The sequence below is a fragment of the Homo sapiens genome, chromosome 8 (assembly GCF_000001405.40).
Source record: "Homo sapiens chromosome 8, GRCh38.p14 Primary Assembly".
Taxonomy (NCBI): Eukaryota; Metazoa; Chordata; class Mammalia; order Primates; family Hominidae; genus Homo; species Homo sapiens.
Window position 1 is genome coordinate 78,588,470 of NC_000008.11, and position 23,883 is coordinate 78,612,352.

Sequence of the window (23,883 nt, forward strand, 5' to 3'; positions counted from 1 at the left end):
AATTGCATCTCAAAAAAAATATAAACAACAACAACAACAAAGTGCAGTGTAAAACGCTAAATACAATTTGATATGGATGACTATTGTGAAAAGACTATTGCAAGAGTGAATAATTATTTGGTGAATAATTATTTGGTGAATAATCTGTAGTGATTATTTAGTGTACAGATTATTTGGTGTACAGATTATTTGGTGAATAATCTGTAGTGATAGTTCCTGAGAAAACAGTCCTCCTAAGTTAATAGATACATGTGTAAAATTACAAGGGGAATTAAAAATAAAGCAGTGTAGAGGAAGCAGGGAAAATTAGTATCTACCTCTTTTCCTATATGGGAGTAAATGAAAGAAAAAGCGATGAATGTCTTAAAGAACATGCAGGGTTGATTGTTCCATTGCACCCCAGCCTGGGCAACAAAGTGAGACCCTGTCTCAAAAAGAAAGGAAAAAAAAAAAGAAAAGAAAGATTTAAAAAATGCAGAGTTAAAAGATAAAAGATTTTATAACAGGGAAGATGTAAGCAATTTGCAAAGTGTTAAAGAAGTAGCTGAAGTAAAATTGTAACTCCAGAAGCAAGAGGCAGAATTGAAGGAATGATAATGAGGAAGAAGATAGAATCAAGAGCACCAGTCAGGTATTAATAATGGTGGGCAAAAGGACTCTTGAATAAAGAGATGGATGACCTTAAATGTGATAATAAAGAAAGAGGATTGAAGATGAATGATGACCTTGGTCTCCACAAAGTTATTAGGTAAGATTTGCTATGGAGAGTAAGAAAGCAAGATACAAATAAAATTTAAAGAGCATACAAAAAAAAGAAAGAAAGAAATTGTTTTTATTAGGGATAGTATAGGGGTAAACCAGGAATGAGTATAAGAATTTATGAGTAGCTTTGAGGTCACTCGTTGCCCAATTATAAAAGTATTTTCTAAAGAAAGATAGTACTTCTAACATTTTAAACATTTACAGGTAAAGAGTTCTCATTTTAAAGTTTTTACGTGTTAAACATTGTAGGGGGAAAAAGTATTTGAGTCTGATCTAAAGAAAGTTCGAGAGGAGAAATTAAGTAATGATGCCATTCGGGGTGGGGAAGAAGGCTGACATTTGCAGGAATGATGCAAAAGCAAGGTGGGGGTGGGCAGGGAACTGCTGGAACTTTTGCACTAAGCAAGTCAGTGGCACTGAACTCTCCTAGTGATCTATGTATTCTGCACCCCTACACACTCACAATTAGTATTTTTTTAGTTCCAGGTTTACCTAAGAATGTACTTGATGAAGCAGTAAAAAAAAAAATTCATTTTCTTGAATCTCGACCTTTGAGTACACATGTTTTTAATATTCATGTGATGAAATGGGACATCTCATGAAGCACTTCTGTTGTGTATCAAACATGTGGTTATCACAAGTAAAGCACCTTGTGCAACTGTGGGTTGAGAGCTGAGCCAGACATTATTTTCATGGATCACCATTTTTACTTGAACGAACAAGTGACAGGCAAACTAGTTGTTCAAACTTGGACATTTGGCAGAAATTTTCTTGAAAATGAACAAAGTGAGCTTGTCACTTCTAGGAAAGCAAAATCTAACAGTGTCTTTTGCCAATGAAAAAATCTGAACTTTCAAACAAAAATTATAATTTCAGAAAACCTATTATCTGCCCCTGTGAACTTGTCAGTTTCCCAATTCTTAAAGACTCTTCAGATGACATAGTTGGTGTTGCCAACAAGTGTGATATTGTATAATTAAATGTGCTACCGTTTGGGAAATTTACATAACCCAGTGTACCAATATTTTCCAGATGACCAATGTCTGATAGTTAAAAAAAAAAAAAGAAAAAGAAAAAAATTGCGTGGACAAAAGACCATTTCAAACTGCAAGAAAGACAATGGGAACTTTCTAAAGGCAGAGTATGGAAAGCATATTCATATGACTTCAGATTCCACATTGAAAAAAAGCCATAATTATCTGAAAAGGCTATTAAAATTCTCCTCACTTTTCCAGCTAAAAAAAATAATATCTCTGTTAAGCCAGATTCTCTTATGTACTTCAACTAAAACAACATGTTAAGAGATACTGAATGCAGAAGCAAATATGAGAAACCAGATGTCTTTTATTAAGCCAGACATTTGCAAAATTAAGCCAGAGAGTTGCAAATGTAAATCAATGCCATACTTGTCACTATTTTTTTTTTTGCTTTGGAGAATATATTTTATTTTCATTAAAATATTTATATAAAGTGTAATGGGTTTATTCATAGTATTTGAGGTGAATTAATACTTATTTAATTTTTTTCAGTTTTTCTAATTTCCCATATGTTAAATATTGGTAGATTTATCCCTGGAGAATGAAAGCTAAGTGGGGTTCTTCATAATTTTTGAGCATGTAATAGATATCTGAGACCAAAACAATTCAGAAATACTAATGTAGACCAAACACTAAACACACAGTAAACTACTCAAGGTCTTTAAACATACTTCCCATGATTTCACAAAGTCAAAGTTGAGAAGTTATATAATTGCATTTTGTAATAGTGGAAAAAGGGGAATTTTCTTTCTTTCTTTCTTACTTAAAAGGAATCATAGTATTCAGATTAAAGAGAAGTCTTCAGCGCATGCTGATGACATTCTCTCCATTCTTTCCTCCAAGTCTGTGAGTCTCATTTCATGTGTCCCATTTACAGGAGTAAAATTAGCATGTTACCCAGTCACCATTTGGCTCATGACTCAATGTCACTATAAAAATCATTTTAGCAACATCATAGGCCCAACTTCTAGAATCCATCGATGTGGAACACTTCAGTTTGTTTAACGTAGGAGACGTAAGTACATGCTTTTCATAGCCTCTTGAAATCTGTCTAAATCTGTAAATTCTACTATAGTAATACCTTATGCTTCATTCTCTCAAATAATTTGTGTGTATGGAATTTTAAAAAGAAGGCACAAAAAGGAAAAGATCAGCACAGATCATGAGTCTCAGTTTTGAAATCCATTATATAAAGAATTTGTAGAGCAGCAATATTGCTTCTGTTGCTAAAGAGTAAGAGAGTGAGGCTGTATTAAGAAAAGAGAGAGCAAGATTATTTCTAATTCATAGATTTTGATTGAATTTTTAGATGTCAGGTTTTAGAGATTTATGCTTTAAAATTTAATACAACTTTAAATAGTTCAGTATTTAAATAATAAAATGTCCATTTCCCTCTTTTCCCTATCCCATAAGGCTGAATATTAGTATAATTGGATCTTTTGTATAACTGGATACAAAAAAGTAACACCATATTACCTTGTCTGTATTCAATACTATCATTTGGTCATGTCTAGAAAATTCCAGTTATAGCAACATAGACAGGAAACTCTAGTAAAGAATCAAAGTCTACTTTTAATAAGTTTTCCAGATTTTGTCCTGATTATTTTTATAAAGTCAGAATATGTGCTAGTTGCTGGTCTACTAAACTTCCGTCTGCTGCTGACATTTATTTGACTCTTTTTGAATTTTGTAATTTTGGGGGGTGAATATCTGTCAAACATAATTTTTATGGCTGTTCTCCAGAATTTCAAAGCAAAAGTACAAGTCGTCTATACAGGTATGCTTGATGTAAAATATATTTATCTCTCAGAGTCATATTACTAAATTAGAAGACCTGTGTCTAAATGCTTGACTGAAAAAAAAATAGCCACTAGGCAGGTAAAAATATCTATTTTTGAGCACTTAAGGGGAATTCACTAAAAGCACTATAATCATAGAGAAAATCTGGAGTATACAATATATATTTTGTTTAAAAATGTAATTGTATGTGTTCCTTCATTCACATATTTGTTGTGTGCTATTTGTTAGCTATTGCTCTTTTATTGGAAAATAGATCTATTGTCTAGGGAAAGAAAATATAATAAGCAATGAAATATTACTTTTATAGTAATAGCTATTTCTATTATAATAATTATATTGGCTACTCTAACTGGATATCCAGTGCTTAGTTTCTATGTTACTTTAAAGGTTCAGAATTGGATGCACATGGAACTAAAAATATATTTCAACTTTACAGGAATAATCTCTTCTCACAATTGTCTCTATTGTCTTTCATTCAATTGAAATGAAAGCTATATATGAAGATTTTAAAAGTAAGCACAATATACTTTTATGTCTTTCATAACCTCATTTCTTCCTTCATGTGTTCATTACTTGGGAGTGCACTAAATGAAAATTCAAAGTAAGTTGTTGCTTACCCTCATATAAGTAGAATTGCCACCAGGATCTTTTAAAATTCCCACATAGATAAGTCATAACACAAGACACTTTCTTTTATATATACCTTCTCATGGAAAATGTTACCACATTTCTCTGCCTCATTTTTGGTATTTCAAATCTTTTAAAAACTATTTTCAGCAAGGAGAATTAGATATAAACCCCTACAAGGATATGTATTATCATGGCAGTTAGAAATGATAATGGCAAAAAAACAGGGACCTTTACTGCAAAGTACAATGCCCTTTACACAAAACCCAAAGACATATACCCATAGTTTAAGTCATGGTAATATGTATGATTTAGTGGTTACTTAAAATCTCTGAGACTTATTTTCTCCATCTGAAAAATGAGGATTTGTTTTCCTACTTTACATCATTGTTATCAGATGAGAAATAATAGCACTCGTGCTTTTTTCAAGCCTGTTTGTTTGTTTGACACGGAGTCTTGCTCTGTCACCCAGGCTGAAATGCAGTGACCCAATCTTGGCTCACTGCAACCTCCGCCACCCGGGTTCAAGCGATTCTCCTGCCTCAGCCTCCTGTGTAGCTGAGATTACAGGCGTGCACCACTACGCCCAGCTAATTTTTGTATTTTTAGTAGAGACAAGGTTTCACCATGTTGGTCAGGGTGGTTTCGAACTCCTGACCTCTTGATCAGCCTGCCTCGGCCTCCCAAAGTGCTAGGATTACAGGCATGAGCCACCATGCCTGGCCTAAGCCTATGTTTTTAAAAGCCATAGAAAGAGACTAAGAGTGAAAATCATTGTGAAAAGAGCTTGAATATCTCTTGTGACTCCACCTCTCCTTAAATATTTATAAGATGTATTTGCTAGATTGATGTGCATGTTCAGTTCTAAACCTTTGAAGTAATGCAGAAACCAAATACTGTGTTGGTTAATGGTAATGCATATAATGAAAATATCTTCACAATTAATAACACTGAATTATTCCAAGTTCCAAAAACTTTATTCAAACTCTGACTTACTCATAGACAGGCTGCCTGGTAAAGTAAAAAGCATGGGCAGGAACTTTGCAGACTTAAGTTCCAAGTACTTAATTCATTAACTATGCGATTATGGGCAGATTAATTTATTAACTATGTGAATATGGGCAGATCACTTGAATTATCTGGTACTCAGGTCCTTCATCTATAAAAACTTCTAGACTGAAGTAGATGAATTTTTAGGATTTAGTAATTTAGTACAATCAGGAAGCAGGAAAGTTTTCTGTGGCCACTGATAAAAGGTGATTAATATATTTCTTCCTCATTGGTCAGTTCTATTTAACATATTCTTATTTAACAATGGCTATGTGCAAACAACTCTGCTAGAAATTGTATGTGATTAAAATATTAACAAAATGCAGTAATCTATTGAGAAGGAGAAGTAACTATAGCTCTAGTTAGAATTAAGTGCCCTGTAGGGTACAAATCAAACCTTTAGATCGCTACCTGAAGAGATAGGGAAATTAGGTAAAAGAGAAGATGGTGTTTGACTGAGTTTTGAGGGCTAAATCTACTTTAACAAGAAAGTTTGTTGGGGAAAAACTGTTACGGGTGGAGTAACAGACTTGAACCAGCACAGCAGCAGAGAAACTCTGGAAAAATATTGCTCATTATTCTAAAACATACCATGTATGAGAGCAAGTGGTTGAAGTTAAAAAAAAAAAAAAAGTGAGTCCTTTCCAGATCATGGAAGGCTTTAAAAGAAATGCTAAAAAATTCAGAATGTGTTCTATAGGCTGTGCAGCAGGCTTGAAAGGCCTTTGAGAAAGGCAAAATGGTAACACTTACTGCAGCATTTTGGATAGGTTGGGACGTGGAGAAACTCAGGGAATAGAAAAACTCAGCATTTGGTTGATATGCATGTTCCTATGTTTTTCCTGTGTTTTACAGGGACTAAATATGACTGGCATCAAATAAAAATCAGTATGACCTGGCAAGTGATTAGACATGGATATCAAGGGAGAGAAATGGGGGGAAATATATTCTCCAACATGTGTCATGTTAATGAGCAGTGGGTAATGGCATTAGAGGTGGAAGGAAATAAAATCAATAGCATGTCTTAAAAAGGCAGGTCAATTCATCCGAAAAAGAAAGAATGGTGATTACACATAGAAATGTTGTTTGAAAAAGGAAGAATTTTTAGAGAATTTGTAACAGATGTCCCGTATCTTCTCAGAGGAAGATGCAGAGTCATCTCTTAAGGTAGGTGGTGTCTGGTGTGTAGACTGGAAAGGGTTTGGAATCCTTCCCAAAGAGAACAGCATAAGGAAGAGTCAACTAGAGGTGAACAGAAGAATTTCTGAGCAACTCCATCCAAGTGTATACTAATAATAGAGCCAGAAATTTCTAGTTGAGCCAATTGGCACAATTTTGTGACTTTTTCTGGTAACACTTAGCCACCCAGTACTGAGATCAGAGAAAATATACTGTAGTGTTTTCCCAGCAGTGAAGTGTAGGTACGAAAGTAAAGATAACAGTAGATCAAAGGGACTTCTTGATGCTAATAAAAAAACTACATAAAGTAGTGGGTAACTGATTCACGTAGGACTGGACCTAGAGGAAACTAAAAAGTGATTCAAGGAATTAAAGACAGCATCAGTATAAAGAATTGGTTCATTGAGTATAAGAGGAAAAGAAAAAGAAAAGGTGGCTGTGACGAGGGGAGAGAATTTCCAGATTCAGAATTTTACAAATGAGGTGGTTTTGGTTTATTTTTGTTTGTTTCACCTTCCAACTTTTATTTTAGGTTCAAGGGGTACATATGCAGGTTTGTTACATGAATAAATTGCATATTTCGAGGGTTTGTACAGATTATTTTATTACCCAGGTAATAAGCATAGTACCCTATAGTTTTTTGATCCTCACCCTCCTCCCACCTTCCATCCTCAAATAGGCCCTGGTGTCTATTCTTCCCTTCTTTGTGTCCATTTGTACTCAGTTTTTAGCTACCACTTATAAGTGAGAACGTGCAGTGTTTGGTTTTCTGTTCCTGCATTAATTTACTTAGGATAATGGCCTTCAGCTCCATCCACGTTGCTGCAACAGACATGATCTTGTCCACTGTTGATGGGCATTTAGGTGGATTCTGTGTCTTTGTTATTGTGAAAAGTGCTGTGATGAACATACGTGTGCATGTGTCTTTATGGTAGAATGATTTATATTCCTTTGGGTGTATACCCAGTAATGTGATTGCTGGGTCTAATGGTAGTTGTTAGTTCACTGAGAAATCTTTAAAATGCTTTCCACAGCGGCTGAACTAGTTTATATTCCCATCAGTAGTGTAAAAGTGTTCCCTTTTCTCTGCAACTTCACCAGCATCTGTTGATTTTTGACTTATTAATAATAGCCACTCTGACTGGTGTGAGGTGGTATCTCGTAGTTTTGATTTGCATTTTTCTAATGATTAGTGATGTTGGCCAGTTTTTCGTATGCTTGTTGGCCACATGTGTGTCTTCTTTTGAGAAGTGTCTGTTCATATCCATTGCCCAATTTTTAAGGAGCTGTTTGCTTTTGGCTTTTTTTTTATTGTATTTATTTATTTTTTTAAGACAAAGTTTCACTCTCGCCGCCCAGGCTGGAGTGCAATGGGCGTGATCTCACCTCACTGTGATCTCCGCCTCCCGGGTTCAAGTGATTCTCCTGTTTCAGCCTCTTGAGTAGCTGGGATTACAGGCACCCAACACCAGGCCTAGCTAATTTTTGTATTTTTAGTAGAGACGGATTTCACCATGTTGGTCAGGCTGGTCTCAGACTCCTGACCCCAGGTGATCCACCCACCTTGGCCTCCCAGAGTGCTGGGATTACAGGCGTGAGCCACCGCTTGTTGATTTAAGCTCCTTTTCAGTTCTGGATATTAGAATTTTGTCAGATGCATAATTTGAGACTATTTTCTGCCATTCTGTGGTTTGTTTGTTTACTCTGTTCATAGTTTCTTTTGCTGTGCAGAAGCTCTTTAGTTTAATTATGTCCCATTTGTCAATTTTTGCTTTTGTGGCAATTCTTTTTGGAGTCTTTGACATAAATTATTTGCAAGGGCCTATGTCCAGAAAAATATTCCCTATGTTTTCCTCTAGAGTTTTTACAGTTTCAGGTTTTACATTTAAGTCTTTAATCAATTGAAATTGACTTAGTCCTTGAGTTGATTTTTGTACATGGTAAAAGGAAAAGGTCCAGTCTTCAATCTACATGTGGCTAGCCAGTTATCCCAGCACCATTTATTGAAGAGAGAGTCCTTTAGCCATTGCTTGTTTTTGTCAATTTTGTTGAAGATCAGATAGCTTTAAGTGTGGCTTTATTTCTGGGTTCTTTAACCTGATTCATTGGTCTCTGTATCTGTTTTTATACCAGTATCATGCTGTTTTAGGTTCCCATAGCCTTGTAGTATAGCTTAAGTTTGGGTAGCGTGATGCTTCTGGCTTTTTTCTTTTTGCTTAGGGTTGCTTTGGCCATTTGGACTCTTTTTTGGTTCTTTACGAATTTCAGAAAATTTTTTTTCTAATTCTGTGGAAAATATCGTTGGTAGTTTGATAGGAATAGCATTGAATCTGTGAATTTGGGCAGTATGGCCATTTTAATGATAGAAATGAAAGGGTTTTGAGTAATCAGTTTTTGTACCTTTTGACATTTTATTTCCAAGATTTAATCAAGAGTGTTTGTTACTCCTCTCAAGTAATGACTTATCAAGGGGAACGTGGGGAGCTGTTTTTCTGGACTGGAAGCGCTATTTGATCACTGAAAATATTTAGAATTGCTGGTGCATGGTGCATAGTGGTAATAAAAAGCAAACTGAATTTTGGCCCATTTCATTAACAGACTGTACAGACAATGCTCTCACTTAGTGCTTACCCCTAGGATGAACCACTTTTTACTTAGCACCCCCCACCTGATCTCAAGTTCTCTCTGGAGTTGAAGAATGACTAAAATGGTATTAGAGAAAGAAAATTTTATAATGTAAACTAAATGTCAACAAACTATGGCATGCAGGCCAAATCTGGCCCATTCTCTATTTTTGTTAGTAAAGTTTGTTTATTACATTTGTTTTACGTATTGGCTATGGCTGCTTTTGTACTGTAAGGACAAAGTTGAGTAGTTGGGATAGAGATCATATGACCCTCAGAGCCTAAATATGTACTATCAGGCTTGATAATCCTACCTAAATGCCCATCAACAGTGGACGAGATCATGTCTGTTGCAGCAACATGGATGGAGCTGAAGGCCATTATCCTAAGTAAATTAATGCAGGAACAGAAAACCAAACACTGCACGTTCTCACGTATAAGTGGTAGCTAAAAACTGAGTACAAATGGACACAAATATAATACATAATACTGTATATTATGTAAAAATACATAATAATATGTATTATTAATTATTAATAATAATTAATATTATTACATTTAATATTAATATATTAATATTAAATGAATATTAAATATTACATTTAAATATGTAAAAATGTACATATTTAAATATGTACATTAAAGGTTCCCAGACCTTTGATCTAAATACTTAGGACCAGAAAAGGCATTACTTGTTTTGTGAACTTGTAAACAGGACAATTGTTTCACATTCATATACTAAGTCGGTAGTTAAATGTTTAGCATTGACTACCATTATATTCACCTATTAATTTTCCTTTCTTTTGTAGTCCCTGCTATGTGGATATTTGGTAGCAATGACTGATGTGGAAACTACATATGCAGATTTTATTGCTTCAGGAAGAACAGGTAGAAGAAATGCAATACATGATATCCTGGTTTCCTCTGCAAGTGGCAACAGCAATGAATTAGCCTTGAAATTAGCAGGTCTTGATATCAACAAGACAGGTAAGTCATCTGGCACACATTTCTCTATGAGCATGGAATGATTTGCGGCATTTTACTAAGAGGGATTAAGGCACGAAAAGCCATCTTTGAAAGTAATCTAATGTAAAGAGTTTTAAACAATCTAAGGCAAGATGAAAGTCTGAGACTAATCTCTTAATCACTCCTGCTCTATTTTCAATGATGTCTGTTTAGAAGGCTTCCCACTCAAATGCAGAGTCCTTAATCTGATTTTATTAATGCAATCAATAAAACACATGGTGTGTTTTTTTAAATCCTAATTTCTATAAAAGCTGAAATTGCTTATGTACAGTATTTAACAAAGTTGGAGCTCCTACCTTTGACAATATTGGCCACCTCTAACATTTACTAGGTAGATATTTAACAAGATTCACAGGTAATTCTGATAGACTTCAATTCTAAGAACAATTTTAGTAAAAAAGAGTCTCCAGGGCTAATTTTATTAAGAATGGAAGTAAAATGATCTGTTACATTAGTAACTCTTAGGTAAAAGGGTCTTTGGTTTCCTATTCCAGATAGAATGGGTTTGTGAAAAATTTGTCTCCTTACTGGGCCTTGAATTCTTACCCAAGGAGTCTATCTTCATTAATGAAAGAGAAAAACAAGTTTGATGGATTAAAAAACTTGACAGTTTTACTTCTGAGTATTAGAATAAGTCCCCTGATAGTTCCTCCACCCATAGCTTTTGCAGATATCAAAGCTGAATGTGTTTCCCTGAGAAGACTTGTGTAAAAATAACCCTTAAAAGTAAAAAGAATTCATGATTAGGGAAACCCTGATATTATGTGCATGGAAAGCACTTATCACAGTTTCTGACTCTTAATTATTCAATATGTCTTCGCTGTTAGAATTTTTAAGGTAAAACCTTTAGATTATTAGAAAACTGAGTCAGAGTATATGTATATATAGATTAATGAAATGGCTCAGCAACATTACTTTAAAATATATAAGGATGGTATTTTATTCAATGGCTAAAGCTCAGTATTTCCCAGACTGGTCTTTTCAAATTCAGATTAATAATAAAACTTTAACATCACCACTTTGGAATATGTAGACCTGTATAAATCTTAGGTTTCATTGTTGTGCTGTTATTGCTACCAGTAGTTACTTCCCAGAACAGCTCTGAGAAAGACTGTATGGGGAATTATTCCAATTTCATAACATGAGATGGATAAATATATTTTTGCTGCAGTCTTGCATAAGATTTATATTTTATTTTTCATACAAATATGCTACTTTAAATAGTCTGCATTAATTTTAGCTGCTCTTAATATTAGGATATTTTTATTCATAGTACAATTTAATTTCTTCTTTTTCTATTTTTCCTGAAGTTGAGAATTGTTAGCCCTAAGACTGTTTTATTTTCCTGAAAACATATTAAATTATTATAAATTATTGAAATAATAAATTAAAATGTAATATTAATAAATATAAATAAAATAATTTCATATGCATTATTTTACAATTAAATAATTTAAAATAATTTAAATTATCTTTATACTTCCAAATGTCTTCTTTTCTAAATATTTTTGCATGTTAATTGCAATTCACTAGGCTCTTGCAACATTTTCTGTTTTTCTTAAAATTATAAAGTCCAAAACCAGGAACAGTATACAAAGCAATAACTTTGTTTATTCTAAGTACAAAAAACTAATAACTGTATAATATGAAGATCTAAAATAGAAAAAATGGCAATTATATAATGACAAATTCAACGTCACTAAGAATTGTGAGGAATTTTTTTTGTAATTCGTAAATGTTTCAGCTTCATTTTAGTTTATACTCAACAATATTGTTGCTTCATGTTTACCTTTATTTGTTAACAGGCATCTATTTAGCAACAGTCTCTATGTTTTCAGCATAATGCTAAGCCCTGAGAAGTGTCCCCAGACATCTAGAGGGTCCCAAGCCCCATGGGAGTCAAGTTCCTCATCTTGTATTTATACAATCACTTTCATCCTGAAATATTCTACTGTCTTACATATGCCCTAATTTGACTTCATTTCTTTGATTACCAAAAGCTTCTCCTGTTTACCAAGTTCTTGTTGCATGCTTAATTTACACATCTCAGAACCAGGCCATCTGCACATCATGCGAGCCTCTCACAATAAAATAGTGCATGAAAATTATATATAATGTCTGGTCATACCCTTGGTACTGCTTTAGAAGAAAATATTTTTATGTAGAAGAATTGGTTTTAATTTCCCTAAAGATTTAATGTTGTTGGAGTATGGTGAGGTGCTTTGTGTGTACTTGCTAAGAGTAGAGGAGAAACTGCCTTATAACATTATGGTCCAAAGAATAGGCCATCCAACTTACCTGCTTTTATTTGAATTATGATAACAAACCCTCAGCAAATATTGATTTGTTTATATTATTGCAACACCTGAAAACATTTTGTTTGCCAAGCCATACTGGCTGCCTGATAACAAAATATCGCATGCAGATATTTGAATCTGAGTCTAGAATTGCCAACAGCTTGCACTTATATAAAGTGACCTAATATGGAGTGAAAGCATTGAAATGTTTGCCATACCACTGGCTAAGATTGCTACTGAGGGTGCAGTTATGAGGGTGGTTTTATTGGAATTGTGCACATGTTCTCTAAGGGCAGACCAGAGGCCATTGTAACTATTTGACAAGGGACTGGCCAGCTGACATAGTGTCCTTTCATTTTCAACTATTGCTTTTACTTTGAACTAATAGAACCTCTGAGAAATTAGCTGGGTTATCATCAAGTGCTATAAAAAGGAGAAAATGCAGTTTTAAAATATTTCTTCAAATAAGACAATCAGGCATAAAAAGGTAAACATGCTCCCACTTCTGATTTCTACTTAAAGACATTTCTGATTTCTGCAACCTGTGAAACTATACCTAAGTGACATGACCTGGCCTTGAGATTTCTGAGCTATTTATCCAAAGCTTGGCTGATCACTAACTACTCTGAAAATTTGAATATTATTTTGTTTTTGAGCCGTGCTGTCCCAAGTTCACAGAATTAATCAGTCCTTGAAAACTTAAGCTGTTTTCTTAGTGGTGAACTGACTACCAAGAAAATATACTTGTTCCTTCAAGGTTTCAGGCCTATTTAGTATTTCTGAAGTTACCAATATGACATATTGACAGTTGGTAAATAAAAGCAATCATTTTTATTTTGCCTTTATTCTGTTTTCGTTTTTCTTTTGCAGAAGGTGAAGAAGATGCACAACGAAGTTCTACAGAACAAAGTGGGGAAGCCCAGGGAGAAGCAGCAAAATCTGAAAGCTAACACCCCACTTTGACCCTCGACCACACCTGAAAATGTCTCAAATCTCCAGGAGTATCTGGAATGCATTTGTTTCCATGAGTGAAAAGAGGAAAAAGAAAATGGCTGTGCTGCATTGCAGGAACCTGCTCATTATCATGTTAAAAATGAGGGCAGAGGCTGTGGCTGCAGGCAGACTTTTCCCTACCTCTGTCATTAGCAATGGTTGAAATCATGTGGCTTGTGTTTGGGCGTCATTTTTGTATGGATCCTTTCACTTGATCATATGACGAAATGCTTATAGAGAGTAGCTCCGACCTAGATGATGATTCTTCCTGTAGCATCTGGCCCCTCACAATGTCAGAGGATTTAATTGTGTCTAATTGCGAAGGGTTGATTGAACCCCAGAGTTTAAATATCTCTGGCTCAAGTGTTCACCCAGTAAAAGAAAGATCCAGAAAGCACTGTTTTTAGCATTACGTATCTGTGTGTTACTGCTGTGTTATTTACACTGTTTTGTATTGTACAATATATATGCTCAGCACTGCCCCCTTCTCTGATTGCTTATGAAAAACAAAATGATGTACATTACTGTGAATTTTTATACCACTCATTTTTAAAAGGGCTGTCTTTTCATTTTAGTTTTCCATACTGTGGTGGTGTACACAGGATAGAACACCCTTTTTTAAAACACAGTCTTTCCCCTTGCTCATTGTATGTTGATGAGTTGATTAAGTCTAACAGATTCATCAAGACTCCATTGCTTTATTATAGAGACATTTGAAAATATCCATTAATGTGAATATCACCTGAATTCAGTCTGTTTGGTGTCTGCACAGACTGGAATTCAATCTGTCAAATTTGTTTTATTCTCAAGTGGAGAACTTCTCCCACATAATATATATATATATATATATTTTAATTTATGAGAATTTTGGACAATTGGAAAGGTAGAAAAGAAAAGCCAAGATCATACTAAGGACTGGAAATATTTTGTTCTATGGAATCAAATTTCTCACAATGCTGTATGATACTATTTAAATTTGGAGGACAACTTATCTTCACTAAGCTGAATCAGGTGGAGAAAGTAATCTCCTTGCAATCATGTGGACACCAATCACAAAAGTAAAGCCCTGGTGTTGTGTTTTCATGTCTTTTTTCAGCCCTCTCAGATCCAAATGTTATTATGCACTTTTTAATGTTTGTAAACTTTTACTAATAATTAGTGTGAATTGCATTCTGATACAATAATGATTATCATTAGAAGCTAACAAAATTCTCATTAATACTGTGTTTGATGGCCTCTGCTGTGTTTTAACATCGTGCTTCTTATATGGAAAGTTTTTGTGAGCTGTGTAATCCCTCTGGTCAGTATTATGAAATCATTTGTCAGTGGTAATAAATAAGGAACCAGTAATATGCCAATGGTTCATGAATTACTGGACAAATAGCAGACAATGGGAGTCCCTTTACAATAACGAGCCCACTTAGCTGTCCTTGAGGGCTTAGATACCTTGCCACGTGAAGTAGGTAGAGCAGCATTTCAATAGGTAATTTGTGTGGTTGTGCCAGAAACTCAGCCCTTCTATGTAATTACATACAGGATAAAAGGTAAGTCTGCTCACTTCTCCTTCTACAGGGCATTTCAACTGACTGGAATAAGGGCATGGTTGCATTTAGTACTCAATCAGATATTACTAGAAAAAAAATTAATAATGTGAGCCTTTCCGAGAGCAGAACGAGGAAAGATTAAATTTTAGAATGCTTCCTTCTGTCTAATCCATCAGGGGCCAAAATGCCCAGTAAAATTCAAACACATCACCTATTAATAGACTTACAAGTGAGAAAAGAGGTTCCTAGGGTTATTTTAGGCAATCCCTGGTAAACTGTTTAAACCATCAAACCCCTACAGTCAGTTTTCAGTATCCTCATTTAATATTTTAATAGGTTTCTTGTGAATTTAAACTTCTCTTCTTTCTTAAGGTTGTGAAATTCCAAACTGATTTTATGTGATTTTGAAAAGTTTAGAACCAGTGCTGAGTCTATGTGGAGGGTTTATATTCCTATGTGATATACTGTTATTAATGCATGTGGTGCCATGCTTGTCTTTAAATATATAAATAGTGCTAAATTGCAAAGTCATATGGAGCTTTGGATTTAGTTTGACTTCTTACTACTGCTTTGTCTGCTATATTCAAACCCAAAGGCATTCCCAAGCTAGGGAGATAAAAATTAATTTTCTAAAATGTCCACATCCTATACATTTTGCTTATTCATGGCATCTTTCAAATTTTATTTTAGTTTCCTTTATTTGCCAAGAATACATATGGATTTGAATTTTTAAGGAGAGAAGGAAAGGGTAGGAAACCAGGGCCTTGGGTTTAGTAACAGGCATTGGATGTCTATTAACCAACTATTCTTACGCTAATGGCTTTGCAGCTCCTATTCTCCCATTTGATCCTCAAACAATTCTATTAGAGTGGTATTTTTATCCAATTTCACAGATTAAAATATAAGCACTCAATAAAATATAACCTTTAGAAGCTTAAAAAGCTAGTAAGTGATGAACTGAGGATTTGAACCCATGTTTGTCACCAAGGAGCTTTCCAGGGCACATGTCATAAAATTAGAGCCAACTGCAGAGCTGTAAGGGAACTTTTAGAGATGAACTTCTTCAGCCTCCATATTTTACAGAAGGAAACTGAATCCCAGAAGGAGAAATTGCCGTTCTCAAGGCTCCCTGGATGGGTAATAACACAGATATGAGTAGGTCACATAAAGTATATCTTTTTTAAAAAAAAGAAATTCAATTATGTCTTATTTGGGGGGTATATTTCCCAGAAGATATTTTTCTGGCATGTGGTCTGTAAACACAGCATGATTCATATTTTTTATGTTTCATGCTACTCATTTTGTTTAATTACCAACAAACATGGGGACTTTGGCTTTTTGACTTATTTGCAACAAGCATGAAATTGTTAAATTTACCTTTTATCAATTGTAATCATCCTATGCCAACATATTATCATAAATTCATAGAAATATTTTTAAAAATAAATAACAGACATTGAAATCCAATTCTTAGATAATACTCCCAGAACAGCCAATGGTAAATGCCCTATACTTGAGTCTTACTTAGATGCTGTGGTAATGCACCATTTTAGAAGATGAATGATACTGCTATTTCTCTTCAGGGAAACAATAATGGATAAAGAAATGTAACTGCCGGGCAGCAAAGCTTCTAAGTGAAACCTGTAGTAGCAGTAGTAGTAGGGAGAAAATGTGTAGTCATCAAGTGAAAATAGGAAAGGATCTATGATTTATGATGTCTTAATAGACCCTAAATTGTTCTTTAATTACAAGAGTGGCAGTCTCTGAAGTCATTTGTGAGCTTGTATGACTTTTGTATTTAGCAATGTTGCATGCTCACATAATTGAAAATTAAAAGTAACACATTTTTCTGAAATGTACACAGTCTATTAAGAGTATTTATTGAATTCACACTATGTACTTTGTGCTAGAGAGTGCTGCAGGTGATAAAGGAGAAATTATATGCCTCAGTCATCCCGCAGTGGACAAACCCAGGACTCCAGCTTCACTCTTTCCTGGCCTTTATTCTAATCATTTTCAACTCCATTCCACTCGAGTAGCCCACTTCCTAGTCTTTGTCATCTACCAGAACCATCCCACCTCCTAGATCTTAACCCCCAATACCATGCCTATGGTTCTTACTTGCTCATCTGTAGGGAGATGACATTCAGTCAGGAGAAAGACAGGTGTTTATCAGAATTCTTGGAAAGTTTTTACAGCACCCACCCTCTACCCACCCCCCACATAGATACATTCATACACAAACACTCTCTCTTAAAATAACTTTCTGCATGACTCTGATACCTTTCTTCCACCCACCTGCACCCCCACCACTTTAGAACCACTGATCTAGAAGTTCAAGGCTTCCTGATGCACCCACCCTGCCCACTCCACTGCAAGGCTTTGAAATGAGTCAGGAACAAAATGCAATCCTCACATTACTGCATTAAGGGTAATGCACATGGTTTTACTGCATTAAGGGTAAATTTTTAGGGTAAAGAAGCAAAGAGAGCTCTTCTTTTATCTTAGTGTTTCTCTCTTTCCATCATTTTATTTTTACCACACACAGGCAGTAATGACCAAACAGAGACCAAGGTGGAGCTCAAGAGAAAGTAAGCATCAAACAGCACTCAGCCTGAATCCAGGCACGTTCTTCAGTCCAAAAAGCAAAGGGGATGTAAATACTTAAGTTCATCTTACTCAGATCGCAAGAATAAAACACCACATAGGGACTTGGGACCAACAAAATGCTAACCAGTGAAATAAGTTGTAGAGCCTCTAGTGTCTCTACTCATTGTGTATTTCTTGTATCTGTCTAATTCAGGTGTGGGGATTCAGGATCCTTTTCATCTTTAATACTAAAGTCAAAATTAACAAAATTATATGACTATAACCTATTAACTTTCTAATTTGCACCACATCTTCTTTCTGATTGGGTTAATATGGGTGCTTCCTCAGCAACCTTCCTGCTAGTCTGGACTCTATTGTTCATCTTTCTCCTAGGTGCTCCTCAGGTTCCACATTTTCTTGCCTTTCTGCCATCTCTGCCCCATCAAAGTCAATTAGGCCACTCACTTCTCTTTACTTGTCTTCTGGATGACTGTAAAAAGTTTAAAACAATGCTTATTCATTGTCTGCAACCTCAATCTAGACATAAGTGCTGCACAGCTCTCTCTTTTCATGTCCCTGGGGACAGAGGAATCTTCCCACTTTCAGGCTAAGATTTATTCCTTCATTTGATGTTTTTAAACCACTTTATTCTGACTTTAACAGGATGTCTTAATTATCCTTTTTCTTTACTGACTTTACCCTTTTTCACAAATGTGCTCAAGTTTTCAATTTCCCATTTGCTTCATCACTTCTGTTTCTCAAAATAGTAATGTATACTCCCTATTTTCATGCTTCTTCTCCTCCTTATTTCTTATTCTTTTGCAATTTGGCTTCCAATAAAATTTTTCTCATTATCAATGACATCTTTAGTAGCTCATCGTCTCTGCCATAGTCATTGAATCTCTGACCAATGTGGAAATTAAAAGGTGATGATGATTCAGAGGACTCAGATTAACCTAAAATAAAATTTAATGTTTTTATATTTTTAATTGATACTAGTATGACAGAGTATCACTGAATAATATAGTATTTTTCAACTATATAGAATCGACATATATCAAGAAAACGTCAGCTTTCTCTCTAGTATAGAACTTCCATAATGTATGGATATGTCCTTGCTCTATGACCACAGTCTCCCCGTAATGTTTGCTTGCTATGTACTCAGATCCTATAGTGCTCATTTCTTTATAGGAGTGGTTGTCACATATCTGGGCACCAACACAGAGCCTAGACATTCATAGATGGGCAAGATTACTTTGTGATGTTGTAAAGTTCTGTGTTCCATTCTACTCTTGGATAAATGTTAGTGATATCACTTGTTCCTCTCAACAGCAGCCATATATGTGTAAAATCCCAGTCTTGCTCTACTTCTCTGAATTATACCTAAACAAATATATCTACCCGAAATAGAGTGGATCATTTTTGTATATTTTATTAGCTTACTCAATGACATTTAATCTGGTTCACCATGGAATCTTTTTGATATGCTTCATTTGCCTTCCTTTTTCTTCCAGATGTTTTTTATTTAGTGAGTTCTTGTTTGTTTCTCTCTGACACCTCCTCACTAACCTAAGACTGGTTCCTCCTTGTCTACCTCTCCACTAAATTTCATGGTTCCCTGGGTTTCCATTCTCATTCCTCTCCTCTAATCTCTCTCTCCAGATGACTTCCTCCACTCCCACATCAGCAACTATATTCCTATGGCGAATCTCATATCTTGATCTCTAGCCCAGGAGTCACTCCTCATTATCTGACCTATTGGATAGTTGAACATGGATTGCTCGAAGAATCTTAAAATTCAATGTTCTAATACTAAATCCAATGCATAATCCCATTTTCAAACCTGCTTTTCCTTATATGCTACAGATTTCAGATCATGGTAGCACTGATTTTCCACTGACCTTAAATCAAAATTTTTGGAGCCCTTTTAGCTGTTACCTCTTCCTCTGATTTGTGTGTTTGTTTGTTTTTTGGTCAATCGATTCTAATTCTTCACTACTGAAACTGTTCACTTCTTTTTATCTGCACTCCAACCCTTAAATCATTACTTATCTATTATTATGCAATGGCCTGCTCAGCATGACCTGCCTCATCCAGCACTCTTTCTAGCCATCTTGCCACCAGATGTATTGCTCTGATACATGATTTTGATCATGTATCTCTCCTAATTAAAAAATCCTTAAGTTTAGCCAGACAAACTTTACGGTATAAGTACCACATTGTATTTGTGTATAACTCCTTGCTCTGTGTTAGCTTTTATCCTGTTCCTAAAATGTGCTTCATGCTTGTGGGCAAAGTCTCATTGATCCTTTCAGACTAAGCCTCATTTCATCCTTTTCGGTAGTCTTTCTGACTCATCTCCATTCCCGAGCCCTACCCTAGGAAATCAGCCATTCTATACTCCTTGCTCTCTAACAATTTATCCACAAATGGATCTCTATATCATAGCTATTTATTTGCATGCATATCTCTCCACCTTGAGTGTGAGCTTTTTGAGGGCATCAACTCCGTTTTATTCATCTTTGTATACTCACTGTTTATCTATGTAGGTTATTGCTAATCAGTACAAACATCAGTAGATATTTGTAAATAAATAATATCTGCCCTCCTGAAGCTCATAATGAAGTTAAGAGAGAGAATCTACACATAGATCGATTAGGGAAAATGCAATTCAGAGATAAAATTCATGGTTGAAAATAGTGACGTCTCAAGAATATTGCATTGCAGAGGATAAAAACTTAATTCCTATCACCATTTTTTTTAGTTTATACAAGAGTAACTATTTTAAAATTTCTATTGCAAACTGGTGTGCTGCATTTGTACACACACACACACACACACACGCACAAAGATTTGATAAGACATAGAGAAATGAGATGTCCAATAGGACAACACGTAACTAGATGGGCAAATTAAGGTAAGCCATCCAGCTAAATAAGCCTTTGGTAAATTTATTTCTGGGAATTCTGTAGCAGGAATTATCTTCAGTTTGCTGGAATTAAGATGAGCCAAAAGGGGGTTATATCTTACTCTTTTGGCCTAAGCAATACATTGTTCAGAGAGGAGGATCTCCAGGAAGGATCTTGCAGGCCTTGAACAAAAGTTCACTGGAGTTTCTGAGAATATGCCTTACAGAAATGCACTCAAACAGCCTAAAGAAATGAGAGTTCTAATAACAATAGAATAAACCTCAGTGTCAGGAATTCACAGAAAAAAGGGGGAAAAATTGTAGAAAGGGATTAAGAAACACATTTTTATATACTCAAGAAAGAAAGCTCACTGATATACATGTATAGAACCTTAAAGACCTTTTCCTGAATAGTGTTATCTTTTAAAAAAACACTGGTAATAAAATTAACTTTGGAGATCTAACAAGACTAAAGAAGTACTGTGAACTTTTGGACTCTGAAACTAAGAAAAAGACTGACAAAGGTGATGATGTAGGTTACTGCTAATAGAACATGTTTAAACTTTGGCTGCCATGATTCATTTTACACCTTGTTTGAGTAGGATGGTGTGACTATTATGACTGTCCTGTTGAATTTCTAAGTTTTCTTTTATCCCATATCCTCTTTGAAATTCACAAGCCAAGATATAATCATGAAGTTTTAAGGGTAAAAAAACCTATTCTGCCTTCTCAGATAGTCCTAAATACAATTCAACAAATCATCAAATTTGTCTAGGAAATAAAATTTGAGCATTTACTAAGTTTAAGTCTTTTTTTATTAGGTGTAATAAAAGAGAAATTTTTAAAAGACCACAGAATCCAATAGACCAATAAAAACTGAAATAATAATGGGGACAATAGTTTTCCTATCAGTATTTCCAGTCTTCCCCCATCACCACTCCATCTTCCTTTTAAGAACCTATTATTCAATTCTACCATCTAATGAGAATTTAGTTTTTTCTCAGCTGATTACTAGGCCTTTTGCAACACAGAATTGGGAGAACAGATATACAAGTTAGAGAGATAAGAGGAAAAAGAAGATTCTCAGATAAACAATGCTAGAGGTTTCCTTTGTTGAGAATAAACCAGGTAAAGGTTGAAACAGATTTTTAAAAAGTTGTTTAACATGTTTAAGTCAACATGCGTAATTTAGAATAAAGAATTACAAGGAGGATTTTTAAAGCAGTGATATGGGTTTTTAAAATAAGTTTGAGAGGTTTGACAAGTAAGACATTTAAATGAAAATACAGAATGAAACAAAATTGGGAAGGAGAGAAAAGGACCTTTTATAGGTTCTGAATAAGATCTTTAATATCCTAAAAGGTATGTAAGTAAATATTGGGAATTCTCTTCAATTATTTCTGGATTTCAGATGAAACTTTTTTGAATTAGGCTCTATACAAAGAGGAGGCCACAGGGGACCTGATGGTTTATTAAAGGATATTCATTTAATAGACATGGTAACAGAAGCACATACATATCTATGATAAATGTCTGAAACTGCTAAATAGTAGCAAATGAACATGGAACATCCCATACAGATTCTGGGAAAGAAACCTCACTTGACAGGATATATTATGAAAAATGAATCACTGAAATTATTTATTGGAATAAGTATTTCACTGAAGAAAGAAAAATTAGGCATTCTGTGTAGAAAAACTGACATAAACTAAGGTACACAGGTAGGAAAACAAGATCATATAATTTAAAAATAATCCCTGTTAGCCAGAGCACAGTGTGTACATGCTAAGCCTGAGGAGAGACACTAGACTAGGTGGAGAAGATATCTGAGACTCTATGGAGAAGGACCTGGAAGCCTCCAAAGCTAATGAAAGTCAGTAAGGATTTGAGGGTGTGCCTGAAATAGTTCAGAAGTGGCTGGCAGGCCAGCTCCCAGACCAGTCAGAGAAAACTGTAAACATCAAGGCATGTCCCACACACAAGGACCCTGAGCCGCAGATAAGGCTCGTGCTGAGGAGCCTAACACAGAAATGAAAGAATTCTGAAAGTGAGAGTTAAATTTTTTAAGGTAGGCTAAGGGCTAGAGATGAAAGTAGACATAGGACTTATTCAAAGGTTAATAATTTAGTAGCTGGAAAAGCCAAAGAGATGTCAGAGGGTAAATGAGAAGCAGCAGAGGTGCATACAATGAGGCACAGATAGGGTTCTTTCTGGCAAAGCAGCTGCTGCTGTCCTTTATCCATATCCTACTCATGCCCTTGCCCTGATTCACTCCTCAGTTTTTAAAGGCACCCTCTGTCTCCACTCATAACATGTGGTTCAAGTATAAGAGAAAGATGTCTTTTTATATTGCACCATAGGAAGGGGGTAGAAGACTTTTCTCAGAGTAGTAGTAACTATTATGTTCTGAATATGTTTCAGATGCTTGATTATATTACCTCTTTCTCATAGTTACTCTGAAATATGAATATATTTATTTCCTTATAAGTGAGCAGTCTTAGACTCAGAGAACTTAAGAGCCTTCTCTTAGGCCATGTAGGTTTTATGTTGCAAAGGCAGGACTAAAAATTATGTCCATCTTCTCTGATCCATCTCAATCCAGACCAGCCAAATTTCAAATGTCTTGGCTACCATATTATACAGCACAGAACTCTATACCGTATTCTGCTTTCTGACAATTAAACAAGGAGAGGATTCACTTTTGCAGGATGGAGGTGTACAGTGTGCATGTATGTGTATAGTTATTTCTCAGTGATGCTCAACTCTGGTTTCCTGTCCAAATCAGCTGGAAAACTTTTTAAAGATTAAGAACTCAGCCAAATTTCCGTAGATTTTGATTTTATTGTAAGGAGAGGTTCAGGCATAGGTATTTTTTAGCTTTGTATTAAAGTATAATAAATATTTTAAAGTACCCATAAATGTTCAATTTGATGGATTTTTCTAAAATGAACACTCAGGTAACCAACATCCAGATCAAGGATCCAAATATCTTAACATACTGGAAGCTCCTGTCATGTTCCTTTCTAGTCATCACTCACTAGAAAGAACTGTATCCTCTGAGACTGGTGAATGCTAAATCCTCATCTGTCCCTCCAGAGTAGGCTCCGAAGTTCAGCCCAGAATGGTCACCTAATGCATTTATGAAGGCTCATTGCAAGTCACTCTTCTGTGGAGTTCTATTGTCATGTTTCTCAGGTCAACCTGAAGCTCCCAAAATCATAACTCACCTGCAAACCTATTCATATTTTAGAAGTGTTTACCCAAGGAAGTACAGGTCCTTCAAACCACTATATCCCCTCGTCCATGCAGGTCCCATCTCCATTCAGTTCTGAACCATCAAGCTGGCTCCACCTCTGTTCAGCTCTTCTTAGCTGCATGATCCCAGGGATTTGGTCCTGTCCTTGCCTTTCCTGAACTATCCATCTATTTTTTCATCTGAGTTTCCTT

At 35.2% G+C, this 23,883-nt stretch overlaps 1 protein-coding gene and 1 long non-coding RNA gene across 7 annotated transcripts in view; one reads left to right on the forward strand and one right to left on the reverse strand.

The window, feature by feature from the left end:
- The window catches only part of PKIA (cAMP-dependent protein kinase inhibitor alpha), an 88,928-nt gene extending 72,130 nt beyond the window's left edge, over positions 1-16,798 (forward strand). For 5 of the 6 annotated variants that reach the window (XM_017013620.1, NM_006823.4, NM_181839.3 and 2 more), the window contains 2 exons: positions 9,889-10,066; positions 13,273-16,798. In XM_017013620.1, coding sequence (XP_016869109.1) covers positions 9,916-10,066; positions 13,273-13,352 — 231 coding nt within the window. In that variant the 5' untranslated portion in view covers positions 9,889-9,915 and the 3' untranslated portion in view covers positions 13,353-16,798. Of the gene's footprint in view, positions 1-2,761; positions 2,815-9,888; positions 10,067-13,272 lie in introns of those variants that run through there. The other variant, XM_017013622.2, reaches the window with a different exon arrangement.
- Positions 1-23,883, reverse strand: part of LOC105375911 (uncharacterized) — a 268,808-nt gene that overhangs the window by 191,298 nt on the left and 53,627 nt on the right. The gene's annotated exons all lie outside the window — the stretch shown is intronic.